General features: G+C 36.3%; 1 long non-coding RNA gene and 1 pseudogene across 4 annotated transcripts in view, besides 1 other annotated feature; both read left to right on the forward strand.

The window, feature by feature from the left end:
- The window catches only part of ZFHX3-AS1 (ZFHX3 antisense RNA 1), a 156522-nt gene that overhangs the window by 1747 nt on the left and 136304 nt on the right, over positions 1-18471 (forward strand). The window lies entirely within an intron of this gene.
- RNU7-90P (RNA, U7 small nuclear 90 pseudogene) lies at positions 6624-6685 on the forward strand (annotated as a pseudogene).
- Positions 10831-11125: an enhancer, noted in NCBI's record as "tiled region #2952; K562 Activating non-DNase unmatched - State 24:Quies". NCBI's record gives its function as "activates a minimal TATA promoter and a strong SV40 promoter by Sharpr-MPRA in K562 cells {active_cell/tissue: K562}" and the evidence as "EXISTENCE:reporter gene assay evidence [ECO:0000049][PMID:27701403]".

Consider the following 18471-nt stretch of genomic DNA (forward strand, 5'->3'; position numbering starts at 1 on the left):
ATATCTTACATATAACTTGCATCATCTAAACCCTAAACTACTCAGAATTGTGTTCACCATGTACCTGGCAGACAGACTTGAACAAATAAGTTTTGATGTAAAACTGCCAAGATTAATACTAAATATAGTTGAGATCCATATTAGTTTGCTAGAGCAAACATAACAAAATGCCACAGACTAGGTGGCTTAAACAACAGAAAGTTATTTTCTCACAATTCTGGAGGCTAGAAGTTCAAGATCAAGGTATCAGCAGGGTTGGTTTCTTTCTGAGGTCTCTGTCCTTGACTCAGATCACTGTCTCATCTCTTTGTCTTCATGTGCTGTTTTCTCCATGTGTGTGCACACCTGTGTCCAAATTTTCTTTCCTTGTAAGCACACCAACCCTACTGGATTTAGGCCCGTGTTAAAGACCTCATTTTAGCTTAATTACCTCTTCAAACACCTTATCTCCAAATAGGGTTACTTTCTGAAGTACTAGGGGTTACACCTTTAACATATAACTTTTGGGGAGACTCAAGGCCATAACAGTAGCCAAGACTCAAAAAGCAGAAATGATTGGGAGCAATTATCTGTCACCTTTCAGAACTCCCATTTTTAGACCTATAGATAGCATAAATGTGTAAGTCAGATTAGTGTAAGATAATAGGAAGTGGTAGGGCCTGTGGCAATTCAAAGTATATTTGCCCAGACAGAAGACATTCAAATTAAAATTGTAAACAACCCTCCATCCCCACCCGAGCCATCCAAACAAAACAGTTTGGCTGGTTTTGACTTACAGGTTATCAGTTTGCAAAAACCACCACCATGTTACTTCGTTTGGAATCATAACCTGATGGTGGATATTGGACATATTAAGTATTTTTATTGCATATCCAAATACATTTTTCCCAGACCCCATTGGTTTATGCACAGCTTTTTTTATTGAGTACTTGTTGTGTTAAAGGAACTGTACTAAGTGCCATGCAGGGATTAAGATCCATACGTTTGGCTACATATATCCTAGAGTTACAAGGACCTATTTTTGAGATCATTTATTAAATACCTAACTTTACAAAATTTAATTTTTTGTGTAACTTTATCGTGTAAATAAATTTGAACTCCAAAAAAAATTTCTTGTCAGACTACATGCACCACAAAGACCAAGACTGTGGCCTCAAGTACAAGGGTAGAGGAAATGAGACAAATAAAAAAATAATTATTGAGCAAGATGAAAGAAGACCATAAGAGGATTATAGATAAAGTGCTATGGAAGATTACAGGACAAACAGATTTCATCCAGCTGGGTGTGGTGCTGAAGGTATTTAATGCAGTTCGAATTAATCTTTTCATGGCACTTGGTACCTCTAATATATCATTAATCGGCATATTATATGGTAGCTATTTGCTTATGTTCATATCCCTCCCAGTACGTTCTGAAATACACAAGAATGTCATAATCTTTATTTGTTCCAGTCTAATGTTATTCAAAAGCATCTAGTGTTACCCAAAGGAGTCAATTGGGGAACTTTTTAAAAAGAAACTTGTCTTAATTCTAGCTCTGAAGATTGTAATTAAGTAGGCCTGGAGAGGTGGTGGAGGATCTCTATTTTGAAAAGTTTTCCCTCACTTAATAAATCTGGTGATCACACCATTTAGAATCTACTGCCCTAGAGCACCTAGTATATAGTATGCTCTCAGTAAATTGTTGTCACATTAAATGAGCAGAGCTGCAATTTAGTAAGATTAATAAGACTCCAGTGTGTAGGATGAATTAAAGTGGGAAATATCCTAAAGGCAGGAAAATCCTATTACAGATGTCCAGCTAAGAGATGAAGCAGCCCTGAACTAGGGTAGAGACAATAGGAGATAAATGGATGAGAAACACTGAGAAGGTAGAATGAGCAGACTTAGGTGAAAATTGATATAATGCAGTAGTTCTCAAAATGTAGTATGCCTAAGTCTTACATGGGTTGTTGATTTAAAAAGATTTCTGGGATCTATCCTTGAAAACCTTTTCAGCTAATTCAGGGTAAAGCACATGAATCTAGCATTTTTAACAACCCTTCTTCATGATTTTGATTTAGATTATTTAAATTAAAAACCTCGATTTAAGAACACACTGATCTATTAACCATAGTGAGTAGGGAAGAGGGACTATTGAAAAAGAATTCTAAAGATTAAATCTTGAGCGACAGGGAATATGATAAGCCATTAATTCGGCAAGTAAGAAATGTCATTTAAGAGCCTGGAAAAGAGGTATGAGTGAAGAAAAAATTGGAAAATCTTTGTTTAATAAAGATTTCTAAGAGATCAAAGAAAAAGAAAATGGTTATACAGAGAATTGAGGGAGTATTTCTCCTTTTAGAGACCTTGAAAGAGGCAGCATATGAAACAAAGTGGAAAGAAAAACAAACTGGCAGAAACCAAAAACAAGAGTCTCAAGCAAATAATATTTATAGCAGGTGAATAAGAAATACAGGGGTTGTGTGGATGTAGAGAGGTTTCTGGAATTGACCTGTATCTGTATTGTTGAATAGAAGAAGTTCTATAGAATGTTGGGGTTTCTACGAGTTGAAGAATAAATTCACAGCAAAATCAAACCTAGGTGATTAAGCATAATTTATAATGTGGAAAAAAGAGTGAGAAATTATTATAACAAAGAGGTGACCCCTCAAGTTACTTGTAATTCATAGAGGTTTTTTTTTTTGGTTTTTTTTGAGACAGTTTTGCTCTTGTTGCCCAGGCTGGAGTGTAATGGCGCAGTCTCGGCTCACTGCAACATCCGCCTCTCCAGTTCAAGAGATTCTCCAGCCTTAGCCTCCCAGGTAGCTGGGATTACAGGTACCCGCCACCATGCCTGGCTAATTTTCTTATTTTTAGTAGAGACAGGGTTTCGCCATGTTGGCCAGGATAGTCTCGAACTCCTGACCTCGGGTGATCCACCCACCTCTGCCTCCCAAAGCGCTGGGATTACAGACGTGAGCCAATGTGCCCAGCCGAGACTTCCATTTTTTATAACAAAATAATTTTAAGAGCAGAATCAAAGGAAATAAAAAGTGAGAGATAAAATGGCCGTGATAAAATTAATAGTAATCATTCATTATTAGCCAAACATAGATTTTTGTAAGGTTCTTCTTGAATAGTAGGGGAAGGTAAAAGAAATGAATTAATAAAATTGATTAAAAGTCCTCTTTTTAAGAAGTAGAAGAAAACAAAAGAATAAAGGTAATTTGAGGAATGGAGTTTTTAAATTTTAAAGAAGAAAAATAGTTGGAGGGAAAATAATATTTTTTCTAGGTTTAGCAACAAACTAGTTTTATAAACATTGCATGTTATATGCCAGTCTTATAAGCTATTTATAAGTAGATAGTGACTGTGGTGGTCAACTATATAAAAGATCTGGCATGCCTCTTACAAGTTGTGTATACAACCTTGGTTAAGTTAGTCCTGTTCTATAAAATGGAAAATAATAACACCTGCCTTATAACATTAAATAAATGATATAATGTTAAGTATGTGCCAACTATATAAAGCATTCAATAAATGGTAGCTATTTTTATTAAGTGAATGACCTTATGCAATTTACTTAACTGCTCTGAATTTTTAAGTTTTTTTTTTCTGTCAAATGGGATTAGTTGTCTGATGTTTTTATAGGGTTATCAAGAAGATTAAGTTATTAGAAAATTAGGGTTATTAGAAGATCTTGTAGTATGAATAACACATAACACATAAAAACACTCAGTAAATGTTAAATACTGTTATCAAAAATCTCAAAATGACACGTATCACAATTTTCACAGTGCTTTTAAATATATTCTTCATATAGTCTTTTCAACAATATTGTGATAGTCCCTTTTACAGATGAGATGCAGAAAGCTTGAGCAACTTAGTGCAAAACAAGCAGTCCTCTTATTTCCAGGCCCGTTCTCTTTCTCAACATGCATTTAACTCACAAGGCTTCTTTTTTTAACTTTCTGTCTTGAAAATTTTTTTCAATTCTTCAGCTAAGACAGCAGAAGAGATGATTTATTGTATACTGTTACACTCAGCCACAGCTTATTTTTTAAATATTAGATTTACATGTAGTTGCAGTTAGTAATAGTACAGAAAGATCTCTTGTATCCTTCACTCAGTTTCCCCCAGTGGTAACTATATCTCGTATAACTATAGTACAGTATCACTATCAAGAAATTGACATCTAGTGACCTTATGTAGAATTCACAGGTTTAACATGCATTTGTGTGTGTGTGCATTTAGTTCAATACAGTTGTATCATGTGTAGATTCATGTTACCTCCACTACATTCAAGATGTAGAACTTCAGTCACCACAAGTATTCCTCATGCCACATTTTTTTATAGCCACAACTGATCCTCCTATACCCCAGCTGCTAACCCCTGCAAATCACTAGTCTATTCTCCAGGTTTACAGTTTTGCCATTTTGAGAATATTATATAAATGGATTAACCATTGTAACCTTTTGGCATAGACAACTTTTATTTTTTAATAAGATTTACATTTAATTTATGTCAAAAATAAAGACATCTTAAAACGTAAGCCTTCTCTCTGTTGGAACAATGGATCTCTTTCTAAGTTCTTGGCCTACATGTTGTAAGAGAAGAATTGGATGAACCACATGACAGAAATTAACAATGACAAAGACTCTCAAATTTCAAATCTAGATACACATAGTTCTTGGATTTTTAGATGACACAACTTTTTCCTTTTAAAAATGGTTCAAAAAACAAAAGATGGTTCAATGGCCATTGCCTGCCTTTCTTCTCAAAATGCTTTCTTGTGAAAATGCACCTAGTTGTACATCTTGGGTGGATTTTTACTGTCACATCAGTGACTATGGAAAAAGAAGAGTGATATCCTGGAAAATTGTGGAATAAGAAGTTTCAGAGCTTGGTCTTCTAACAAAACAACCACTAAATGTGAAAAAGGTATTATCAACTATTTTAGAACTCTGGAAACTGATTGAACACTTACAGCAACCTGAGGAGTGCTTGATGAAGAAAAGTATAACTGAAATGCAATAACATTTCATTGCAATACAGCTAGCAATCCCCTTTCTTCTACCCTGCTGCAGCCATGGGGATAGTAGTCTGCATTTCTGGAGTAGCTGGCTATTGCCAGGGGTGGCAGTAAGGAACTTTTCCTACAAATTTTAGGAGTTGTGCATTTGGTCAGTCTGGCAGTTCCCTAAGGAACCAGCAAAGACACTTTTTATTTTTCAGCCCCCCTGGCTTGTAGCAGCTTTCTCATGGCAACTAACAGAAAATGTAAAGGAACACACTCTTTTCTCTCTCTCTTTGGATCCATACATTTAATTAAATCTCTGTCAGGTCAGTGCCTGACTACAGCAATAACAGAAGAGAAACTTCTTTATCCACATAAAATACTGCAGCCTTAAGCAAGCAAAAATGAGCAATCCATGAAGAGCAGTAGAATCTGATTTTGAGAGTTACCACGTTATAGTACTCAAGATGTCTAATTGTCTAATTCTCAACAAAAAAGTCACCATATAAAGAAACAGAAAAGTATAGCCCATTCATGGGAATTTTTTTTTTTAAAAGAAGTTTTACAGAAACCATCTCTGAGGAATACTAAACATTGGAGTTACTAGTCAAAGACATTAAACCAACTCTCTTAAAATGCTTAATCAGTTAAAGGGAAACTATGGACAAAGAACTATGGAAAATCAGAAAAACAATGTATAAGGCCTGGCACAGTGATGCACACCCGTAATCCTAGTGCTTTGGGAGGGTAAGATGGGAGGATCACTTGGGGCCAGAAATTTGAGACCAGTGTGGTCAATATAACAAGACCTCCAATCTGTACAAAAATTAAAAAAAAAAAATTAGCCAGGTCTGGTGGCACATATCTGTAGTCCTAGCCACTTGAGAAGCTGAGACAGGAAGATCCCTTGAGCCCAGGAGTTTGAGGCTGAACTGACACTGTACTCCAGCCTGAGTCACAAGAGTAAGACCCTGTCTCTTAAAAAAATAAATAAATAAAAATAAAAAATGTACAACCAAATAGGGCATATCAATAAAAAGATAAAAGTTATAAAAAAGGAATCAAATAGAAATTCTGAACATAAAAGTACAGTAGATTCAATGGAAATTCACCAGAGGAGTTCAATTGCAAATATGAGTAGGCAAAAGAGAAAATTACCAAACATGAGATAAGGCTATTAAAATTATGCAATTTAAAGAGCGGAAGGGAAAAAGAATGAAAAAAAAGGAACAGAACCTTAGGGATTTGTGGGACACCATCAAGCATACCAGCACATGCATCATGGAAGTGTCAGGAGGGATGAGAGAGAAAAAAACAGAGCAAATATTTCCCAAATTTGATGAAAGACATGAATATATTCATCCAAAAACTTAAACATTAAGCAGGATGAAGTCAAAGAGATCCACAGTAAGACATGTTATACTCAAATTCTACAAAGCAAGAGAATCTAGAAAGCAAAAGGAGCTAACTCTTCACGTACAAGGAATCCTCAATAAGATTAACAGTGGATTTCTCATCAAAAACTATGGAGGCCAGAAGGAAGTGGGATGGCATATTTAAAATAGTAAAAGAAAATAACTGAGAATTCTATATTTGGAAAAACTGTCCTTCAAGAGTGGAGAAAAGTAGGACAGCTCTTTTAGAATTTGTCTAACTGGTTCCTAGTCTTCACTGGAAGCACCCTCCACTCCTAAAAAAAAAATGGAGAAACAATTATTATATTTTCAGATGAAAAGACTGGGGGAATTTATTACTGGTACACTTGCTTTACAAGAAATGGTAAAGGGAGTCTTTCAGGCTGAAATGAAAACCATATGAACAAATAACACTAGTAAAAGTAACTACTAGTAAAGGTGACTACACTAGTAAAGGTAACTACACAAGTAAATATAAAAGCATTATTGTATTTTTGGTTTGTGATGTTTCATTTTACTATGTAATTTAAAGGATAAATGCATAAAACAATAATTTTAGATTTGTGTTAATAGTATATGATGTAAAAATATGTTACCTGTGACAATATAGAGATGGACGTGTATAGGAATAGTGTGTGTGTGTGTGTATATATATATATAATTGAAACAAAGTTGACATTATTCAAACTAGGTCATTATAACTTTAAGATATTAATTGTAATCCCCACAGTAACCACAAAGAAAATAACATACACACACATCAAAATGGTACACTACAAAATATTAACTAAATATATATATTTTTAAGTGATGATGGAATTGAGGTTCAAAAAACATGTAAGATATATAGAGAACAAATAGCTAAATGATAGCAGTGAGTCCTTATCAGTAATTATTTTGAAAGTAGTTGAATTCAACTCTGCAAATTAAAGGCGAATATTGTCAGAATTGGAAAAACACAATCCATCTATATACTGTCTACAAGAGACTCTCTTTCAATACAAAGAAGTTAAAAGTAGAAGAACAGGAAAAGATAGTCTATGCAAGTGGTAATCAAAAGAAAGCTGAGGTGGCTATATTAGTGTCAGAAAAATAGACTGGGTTTTTTATGTGTTTTTTTTTTTTTTTTGAGACGAAGTCTCGCTCTTGTCCCCCAGGCTGGAATGCAGTGGTATGATCTTGGCTCACTGCAACCCATGCCTCCTGGGTTCAAGCGATTCTGTTGCCTCAGCCTCCCAAGTAGCTGGGATTACAGGCACCTGCCACCACACCCAGCTAATTTTTGTATTTTTAGTAGAAACGGGGTTTCACCATGTTGGCCAGGCTGGCCTTGAACTTCTGACCTGAGGTGATCTGCCCTCCTCAGCCTCCCAAATTGCTGGGATTACAGGCGCGAGCCACCGTGCCTGGCCAAATAGACTGTTTTTTTTTTTTTTTTAGATAGAGTCTTGCTCTGTCGCTCAGATTGGAGTGCTGTGCTGTGGTCACAGCTCACTGCAGCCTTAACCTCCCAAGCTCAAATGATCCTCCTACCTCAGCCTCCTGAGTAGTTTGAACCACAGGCATGTGCCACCACCACACCTTGTTATTTAAAAAAAAAAATTATTTGTAGAGACAGGATTTCACCATGTTGCCAGGCAGGTATCAAACTCCTGGGCTCAAGTGATCCACCTGGCTTGGCCTCCCAAAGTGCTGGGATTATAGCCATGAGCCACCATGCCCAGCCAGAAAAATAGACTTTAAGCCAAAAAGTTAACAGGAAACAAAGAACGTTATTTCTTTATAAAAGGTTGAATTTGTCAAGAGTATATTATAAACATATATAGCAAAGTTTTGAAATATATGAAGCAAATATTGATAAAATATAAGGAAGAAATAGATTGTTCTACAGTGGTAGTTGGATACTTCAATATCTCACTTTCAATAATGGATTGAAACAACGACCACACAGGAGATCAATAAGGAAATGGAGGCCTTGAACAACAACATAAACCAAGTAGACCTAAGAGACATAAAGATCACTTTTCTTCACTTCCTGTAACAGCAGAATACACATTTTTCTTCAGGTGCCCTTGGAACATTCTCCTGGATATATCCCATATGGTAGGCCCCAAAGGAAGTCCTAATAAGTTTTTATTTTTATTTTTATTTTTTGAGACAGAGTTTTGCTCTTGTTGCCCAGGCTGGAGTGCAATGGTGCAATCTCACCTCGGTGCAGCTGCCGTCTCCCAGGTTCAAGCAATTCATTGTTCCTGGAGAAGATAATTTGTATGATTTCTATCTTAAAAATTCATTAGGGGCTGGGCACGGTGGCTCACGCCTGTAATCCCAACACTTTGGGAGGCCGTGGCAGGTGGATCATCTGAGGTCAAGAGTTAAAGACCAGCCTGACCAACATGGTGGAACCCCATCTCTATGAAAAATATTTTAAAAAATTAGCCAGATCTTTTGGCAGGCACCTGTAATCCCAGCTACTCAGGGGGCTGAGGCACAAGAATCACTTGAAACCAGGAGGCAAAGGTTGTAGTGAGCTGAGATCTCACACTCTATCCACAACAGAGTGAGACTCTGTCTCAAATAAAATAAGAAAGAAGGCCGGGCGTGGTGGCTCACTCCTGTAATCCCAGGACTTTGGGAGGCTGAGGCGGGTGGAGCACGAGGTCAGGAGATTGAGACCATCCTGGCCAACACAGTGAAACCCCGTCTCTACTAAAAAAAAATACATAAAATTAGCTGGGTGCGGTGGCGGGTGCCTGTAGTCCCAGCTACTCCAGAGGCTGAGGCAGGAGAATGGCATGAACCCTGGAAGCGGAGCTTGCAGTAAGCTGAGATTGTACCACTGCAGTCCAGCCTGGGCGACAGAGTGAGACTGTGTCTCAAAAAAAAAGAAAAGAAAAATGAAATCGCTGATAGAAGGCAAACTGGAAAATTCACAACTATGCGACATTCAAAAAACAAACTGCTGTATAACAAATGGGTCAAGGAAGAAATCACAAGGGCTTCCCTCTTTGAAAAGAAATGAAAAGAAAAATATCACAAGGGAAATTAGAAAATCCTATGAGACGAAAACTAAAACACAATATGCCAGAAATTATGGATGTGGGGAAAGCAGTGCTAAGAGGAAATTTTATAGCTATAAATGTCTCCATTTAAAAAGAAGAAAGAGCTCCAATAACCTAAGTATATACCTTAAGGAATGAGTAAAAAAGGAGCAAACTGAACTCAAAGCTAGAAGGGAGAAAATAATAAATATGAGAACAGAGAGAAATGGAGAATAGAAAGACAGAAAAATTAACAAAGCAAAACCTGGTTCTTTGAAAAGATAAAATTGATAAACCTTTAACTAGATTGGCTAAGAAAAAACTCAAATTATTAAAATCAAATGAAAATGGGGACATTACTACTGACTTTACAGAAATGAAAAAGGATTGTGAGAGAATACTATGAAAAGTTGTATACCAACAAATATTACGCTAACAAATTGGATAACCTAGTTGAAATGGCCATATTCCTAGAAAGATGCAAAGTACCAAAACTGATCGCAGAAGAAATAGAAACTGAATAGTCCTATAACAAGAGATTGAATCAAAATAAAAAAAAATCCCCCAACAAAGAGAAGCCCAGGATCACATGACTTTACTGATGAATTCTACCAAATATTTAAGAGTTAACATAAATCCTTCCAAAAAAATTGAAGAGGTGGGAAACACTTTCTAACTCATGAGGCTAGTATTACCCTGATACTGAAGCCAGGCAAAGATATTACAAAAAACTATAGGACTATATTCATTATGAATATAGATGCAGGAATCCTCAACAAAATACTAGCAAACCAAATCCAGCAGCCTGTTTAAAAGATTATGCGCTATGACCTAGTGGGATTTATCCCAAAAAAGTTAGGGTGGATCAACATAGGTAATTTAATCATTTTATATACCACATTAATAAAGAAATAAAATTGCATGATCTTAATTTATGTAGAAAAGTACTTGAAAAATCTGGAAACATCCCACGATGAAAAACATTGAGTAAACTAGGAATAGAAAGGAATGTACTCAGGCCAGGTGTGGTGATTCACGTCTGTAATCCCAGCACTTTGGGATGCCGAGGTGAGGAGATCACTTGAGCTCACGAGTTCAAGACCAGCTTGGGCAACATGGTAAAACACCATCTCTACCAAAAAAAAAAAGGAATTAGCCAACCCTGATGGTGCATGCCTGTAGCCGAGATTGTACCATTGCACTTCAGCCTGGGTGACAAATGAGACCCTGTCTCAAAAAAAAAAAAAAAAAAGTTCTTAGCATGATAAAGGCCATCTGTGGAAGCTTATAGCTGGCATTATACTCAGTGGTGAAAGATTGGCAGCTTTTCCCCTGAAATCAGGAACAAGACAAGGATACCCACACTTACCACTTGTATTCAACATAGTAGTGGAAGTTCTGTCCTGAGCAATTAGGTAAGACAAAGAAAGAAGTAAAACTATCTTTATTCACTGATGATGTAATCATATGTAACCCAAAAGAATCCACACACACACACACACACACACACACACACAAACACTTTGTTAGATGTAATAAACTAATTCAGCAAAGTTGTAGGATACAAAGTTCATACTCAGAAGTCAGTTATACAGTCACGAGTCACTTAGTGTCAGGGATACCTTCTCAGAAATGCATTGTTAGGCAATTTTGTCTTTGTGTAAACATCATAGAGTATATTTACACAAACCTAAGTGGTACAGCCTATTCCTCCTAGGCTACAAACTTGTACAGAATGTTACAGTACTGAATACTGCAGGCAATTGTAATACAATGGTATTTGTGTATCTAAAACAGAGAAAGTACAATAAAAAGGCACAAAAGATGATGGTACACCTGTATAGGACACTTAACATGAAAGGAGCTTGCAGGATTGGAAATTGCTCTGGGTGAGTCAGTGAGTGGAGTGAATGTGAAGGCCTTGCACATTACTCTTCACTTCTGTATGATTGGCTGTGCAGATGTTTTAATACCACCATCACCACAGACATGAGTAATACATTGCACTATGACATTAAGTTAGCAATAGGAATTTTTAGCTCCGTTATAATCTTGTGGGACCAACATCATATATGTGGTCCATTGTTGGCAAAAATGTCATTATGTGATGCATAACTGTACCTCTATGCACTAGCAATTAACAACCTGACAAATTAAGAAAACAATTCCATTTACAATAGCACCCAAAACATTAACATAAAATATTTAGGAATAAATTTAATCATGGAGGCACAAGATTGTAATCTAAAAACTGCAAATATTGCTGAAAGAAATTAGACAAATAGGCATCTCATGTTCATGGATTGGAAAACTTAATATTGTTAAGTTAGCAGTACTACCCAAAGCAATCTATAGATTCAGTTTAATCTCTATAAAAAATCCCAATGGTGTTTTTTTTTATAGAAGTAGAAAAACTCGTCCTGAAATTAATATGGAATTTCATGAGATCCTGAATAATCAAAATAATCTTGAAAAAGTTGAGGGACAAGCTACAGTAACCAAAGAATTTGATACTAGCATAAGGATAGACATATAGACCAATGAAGCAGAAGCGAGAGCACGTAAATAAACCCTCACATATATGGTTAAATGATTTTTTTCAAAGTGCCAAGACATTCAATGGGGAAAATAGGGTCTTTTCAACAAATAGTATTAGCAAAACTGGATATCACGTGCAAAAGCATAAGTCTGGACTCTTACACTGTATCCAAAATTTAAAATGGATTAAAGGACTACATTTTAGAGCTAAAACCGTAAACCTTTTAGAAGAAAACATAGGGACAGATTATCATAACCTTGGATTTGGCAATGATTTCTTAAATATGACACCCAAAGCACTCACAACAAAAGGAAAAAATAGATAAATTGGACTTCATCATAAGTAAAAACTTTTGTGCATCGAAGAATACTATCAAGAGTGAAAAAACAACCCACAGAATAGAAAATATTTGCAAACCATGTATCTGATGAGGTGTACCATCTAAAATATGTAAAGAATTGCTGCAAGTCAACAACAGAAAGACAAACCCAACTTTCAAATGGGCAAAGGACTTGAATACACATTTCTCCAAAGAAGATATGCAAATAGCCAATAAGCATAGGAAAAGATGCTAAACTCTGTTAGTAATGAGAGAAATGCAAATTAAAAGCAATAAGATACTTCTTCAAACCCATTAGGGTAGCTATTACTTTAAAAGAGGGAAAATCACAAATACTAGCAAGAATACAGAGAAATTAGAACCCTCGTGCATTGCTGGTAGGATGGTAAAATGATACAGATTCTGTGAAAACAGCTTGGTAATTACTCAAAATGTTAAACATACCAGTTGCGCTCTTAGGTATATACCCAAAGAGATAGTTGTACACCAGTGTTCACAACAGCACTGTTCACAATAACCAAAATGTGGAAACAACCCAATTGTCCATCAACACATGAATGGATAAACAAAACATGGTATACCCACAGAATGGAATATTCAGCCACAGAATAAAGTTTTTGATATGTGCTATAACATGAATGGACTTTGAAAATATGCTAGTTGAAATGCCATAAACTAAAGGACAAATATTGTATGATTCAAAATTTGTATGACTCATAAAGACAAAGTAGATTACCAGGGGCTGCAGGGTGAGGAGGGGGAATGGAGAGTTACTACTTTACAGGTACAGAGTTTCTGTTTTGGATAATAATGTTCTGGAAATAGATAGTGGTGATGATTGCACAACATTGTGAATGTACTTAATGCCACCAAATCATACACTTAAAGACAGTTATAGTGGTACATTTTATGTTATAAACTTTTTTCCACAATCAAACTATATTATGTATGTATATGAATAAGAATTCAGTGTAGTTACTACTTTTGAGAATCACTACTCTAACCTAACAGTTAATGAGAAAACCCTTAGGTTTTTTTGATTCAAATTCTTTATCTTTCAATCTTATTTGGGTTTTCCAAATAGATTTTTCGGTGGCTCATGCCTGTAATTCCAGCATTTTTGGAGGCCAAGACTGGCAAATCACAAGGTCAGGAGTTTGAGACCATCCTGGCCAATGTGGTGAAACCCTGTGTCTACTAAAAATACAAGAAATTAGCTGGGCATGGTGGTGGCTCCTGTAATCCCAGCTACTTGGGAGGCTGAGGCAGGAAAATCGCTTGAACCTGGGAGGCAGAGGTTGCAGTGAGCTGAGATCGCGCCACTGCACTCCAGCCCAGGTGACAGTGCGAGACTCTGTCTCAAAAGAATAAAACATACTGGCCAGGCATCAGGAATATTCTAGTATTCTGCTGTTAATTTTATAATTTAATGAGTGCTTTTCAAATAACCAGTCGTTCTCAGAAGAATTTGTTAACAGGCCTAGCTTTTTGGGGTTGATTAGAGTTGGTTGAGCTGGGGTTCTGACACTGAGAGTCCAGAATGTTGAATATCTTGGTGATAGTAAACCCGGAGGCCCAATAGAAACAAAGTACATAACTGTTGTGCTGTGCAAACAGGGTAATTCAAATTACCTATTTGACATTATGTATTGAAGTAACTCTAAAAACAAAATATTACCTTTTCATTAGTCAGGATAAGATAGGCTGTGCTGCAGGAGGAAAGAAATCCCTAAATTTGTGCGATGTTACCTTCTCATCAACAACTATCTACAAGAGAGGCTCAAGTTCCTCTTGTATTTAGTACCAATCTAACTACCTCAAAGGTGGAAAATGCAGATTTCATATGATGATCTGTCAGTGGCTCTTTCATAGTAACCTACATTTAAAAAATTTCTTCACAGTGAGCTATGTGATGTTTCAGTGACGTTTAGATTTGCTAAAATTTATTTCAGACAAAATAAGGACAAGATTTCTTTAGAGATGAGATATTTACAGGTTTTGGAGATTCGTTATTTCATAGTACTGGCAAAATTCAGTAGAACTCTCAACTTTGATACAGTTATCAACTTTGATGCTAGTGTTAAGAACCAACTGTGTAAATTAGTTGTGTGAATTAGTTGTATGTTCTCAAGCAATTAATTTTAACTCAATGTCAGCATCTGGAAATGGGGACAGTAGTACCTACCACATGGAAATCTTGTAAGGATAAAATGAGAATGAGTGAATGTAAAGTGTTTCACAGTGTCTGATACACTTCAGGTTATCATTAATGGCAGTTGTCATTATTGATTGAATATTAATTGGCTTTTTCTATGTTCATACAGTTTGGCGGACATCAAATGACATAGTGTAAGAGCTTTTTGAAAATTGTAAGTTGGTATGTAGATATTCACTTGACAACTGATTATAATCTTTTTTCTGAAGTCCTTATTTTCATTATATAATTGTTTAATTATATACTTCCTTGCATTTTGCTCTTATTTTGTGGGCGTTAATTTCATCTCCCAAACCAGTATATACACTCCTATACATACTAATATTTCATAGCTCATATTTGTTTTGTATCTCCTACATGAAGCACTATGTACTTAGTCAAATACTCAGTAAACATTTGTTTATTTTTAGCAATTGGTGATTTCTAAGTAAGCTCTTAAGCACATCATAATTGCAATTGGAATTAATGTTACTTTGAACATGAGATTGCTGCTACACACCTGAGAATTCTCATCAGTCAAAGGTAACCTTCCTGTGTATCCCAGAAGATGCAGACCTGATAAGAGTGATTTATACCTCTCTAATCCATAACACAGATCTTTGCAATCTACGTTGCTTTCCAAGATACTCTAAACCTGAGGCTACTGAAATAGGTAATGCAGATTACTTACCTAGTGAAGGTATTCCTTACCAAATAGAAAACACTATTACCAAGCCTATTTGTTGGGTTGCCTTTAATATTTATTCTCATGTACAGTCTAAGTTAAGATACTGCTTTTTCTAAAAAAAAAAAAAAAAAAAAAAAAAAATTTCAGGAAATTGACACAGTACATAGCCCATAATCTGTTGTCAGTAATTTTTTGTGGAATTAATGATAAAATAACATTGAGCCAGTACCTCAAGAACTACTGTAGCTAAGACCCTAACTTTAAAATTAAAGTGTTGGATTCTCAGTTGTGCCATTTACTAGCTATGTGTCTGTGGGTGATGTAGTTAAACTGTATAAAACAAAGTTTCCTCATGTGTTAAATGGGCATTATAATAACAATCTTACATGTTTATTGTATTAAATGGCACAGGTAGAACACTTAGCACAATGCCAGATACCTAGTAAGTAAAAAATATGGGTAACTTCAGCCATGATTAATTTAACTCAAAATTACTTAAATATTTGGAAAACGTTTCTCTAATAAGTTTCAAAGTTGGACAGCTCCCAAATTGGTTATTTCAGATGTTCAGTGACTTCATCAGAATTCAGATCTCTATTGTTCCACTCTGCTATCCTCAAAGAGGTAGTCGTTGTCTTCAGACTAGGTAACCTTATGGTCACAAGGTGACTGCTGCAGTTGCAGTCTTCAAATCCAGTCAAAACAGCATCCAGAAAAACAAAGAAAAGCATCTATCTCTTAACCTGAGTTTCTTGTTAAGAACAAGGAAATCTTTCCCAGAAGCCTTCTAGCATACTTCCCTTCCTAACGGATTGACTGAGTCACATCCCCACCTCCTGAATGATTACTGGTGAAGAGAGTGGGGTTATGAATTACCTAGGGGATGGGTTTACACAAATCAGTTTATCTCCAGGTTTTTTGTTGTATCATTTTTTTAAAGGGTGGATGCCTAAATAACATTGGTGTTCTATTAATAAGGGGGGAATGGGTGTCTACCATAGCTATTATTATGCATAAAAGAATATTCACCATTCCTTTTTGAAGGAGTATTTGACTGTAAAGGACAGTCAAGTATCTCCTGAAACTGCTTGGTTACTTCCCATTGCTATCCATCAGATACATCATTGCCATCGTTTATTAGACAAACTAATTCCAATTTCATTTTTTGTCAGTCTTTTAAAAAACCTGTTTCATTCTGTAGTGTTGCTGCTACTGACAAAGTTATTGAAGGGTCACAGCTAAAAATGGCAAATACTAGGCCAGGTGCAGTGGTTTACACCTGTAATCCCAACACTTTGGGAGACAGAACCTACAGGATCCATTGAGCCTTGCAAGAGTTTGAGACCAGCCTGGGCAACATAACAAGACCCTGTATCTACAAAAATAAATATAAAAATTAGCCTGGAGTGGTGGCACATGCCTGTTATCCCAGCTACTCTGGAGGCTGGAACAGGAGGATTGCCTGAGCCCAGGAGGTTAAGGCTGCAGAGAGTCATGATGGTGCCACTGCATTCCAGCCTGGGCAACAGTGTGAGGCCCTGTCTCAAAAAAAAAAGAAAATGTCTAGGATTATCAGGATTACTTGAGACAGATCAAAAACGTAAATGACATGCAAACTAGCTACTTTCTTAAGGTGAATTTTATCTTGGGACAGAAGCATTACTATACCTAACTTATAAAACTTTGCTTTCTAGGCTTAAAAAAATCAGGTAAAAAGTTATTTTCCACTTACTTTCTATCTGGATTAGCTAGTCTATGATTTTAGCAGCACCAAGATGACAACCAATTATAATATGACAAAATATTTGTGAAGGAATACAAGGAAGGGTCCACCAAACATTATTTTAATGATATATAGGAGTTTATAAAAAAGGAGGGAGTGATTATATAGTAATATATATGGGAAATGCTTTAGTTTCCCTGTTTCCTTCTTTCATATACCCATTTAAAAAATCTTTTTGCTAATGTGAACTTGGTTCTACAGGCTGGCTTGATATATAAACAGTTTTCATAAGAAGTTTAGATAATCTGTCTTTTTATACTCTGTCTCTATAAAATCCATAGAACTAAAAATAGACAGACTATAGAAACAGTTGGAGAAAAGAGTGAGACACAATTTAGACAAAAAGGTTAAGGTTGGCCGGGCGCAGTGGCTGATGCCTGTAATCCTAGCACTTGGGGAGGCCGAGGTGGGCGAATCACTTGAGCCCAGGAGTTAGAGACTAGCAACATGGCGAAAGCCCATCTCTACAAAAAGTTCAAAAATTAGGCAGGCAGGGTAGCATGCACCTGCAGTCCCAGGTTTTGTGGCATGGTGGGGCAAAAGGGGCTGAGGTGGAGGCTCGCTTGAGCCTGGGAGGTTGGGGCTGTGGTGAGCTGTGATGGTGCCATTGCACTCCAGCCTGGGTGACAGAGTGATACCATGTCTCAAACAAAACCAAAACAAAACAAAAAACAAAGCTTCATTGGTGACAAAAGTTCTCCCAAAAACAACCCACTTAATAGACATTTTCTTGGTTTTGTACTATTATCTTTTTACCTCGGAGCAGTGCTATTGATAGTAGGTCTCATTGGAAGCATTTTAAACATCCATAATGCAGATAACAATAATAGAATATATATTAACGCACATTTCTTTTGTATATAACTGTGATATATGGGAAGATCAGAACTATCTGAAGAATAGAGGGCATCATTTCTATAATTCAAATTTTTACATTAAAACCCTGTTTTTAGAAGGGGTTTTCAAATGGGACTGTTAATATTTGTCAGTGTATTTTCTAAAAGCAGCAATTTGGGCCAGGCAAAGCATGGCTCATCCCTGTAATCCCAGCACTTTGAGAGGCCAAGGTGGGAGAATTGCTTGGGCTTAGGAGTTCAAGACCAGCCTGAACAGCAAAGTGAGACACCCAACTTTACAAAAACATAATAATACAAAAAAATTAGCTGGGTGTGAGAGTGTGCACCTGTAGTCCCAGCTACTCTGGAGGCTGAGGCGGGAAGATTGCTGGAGCCCACAAGGTTGAGGCTGCAGTGAGCTATGATCACACTACTGCACTCCAGCCTGGATATAAGAGCAAGACCTTGTCTATAAAAATAAAATGCAGCATTTTTTAATTGATGTGTTCAGACAATTTGCATTTAATTGCTAATTTGTTTGAATTTAAGTCCACCATCTTGGTATTTATTTTCTGTATGTCCCATCTGTTTTATGTGCCTTTGTTTCATCTTTCCTGTTTTCTTTTAGGTTAATA

This window comes from Homo sapiens, chromosome 16, assembly GCF_000001405.40.
Source record: "Homo sapiens chromosome 16, GRCh38.p14 Primary Assembly".
In the NCBI taxonomy this organism is placed as follows: Eukaryota; Metazoa; Chordata; class Mammalia; order Primates; family Hominidae; genus Homo; species Homo sapiens.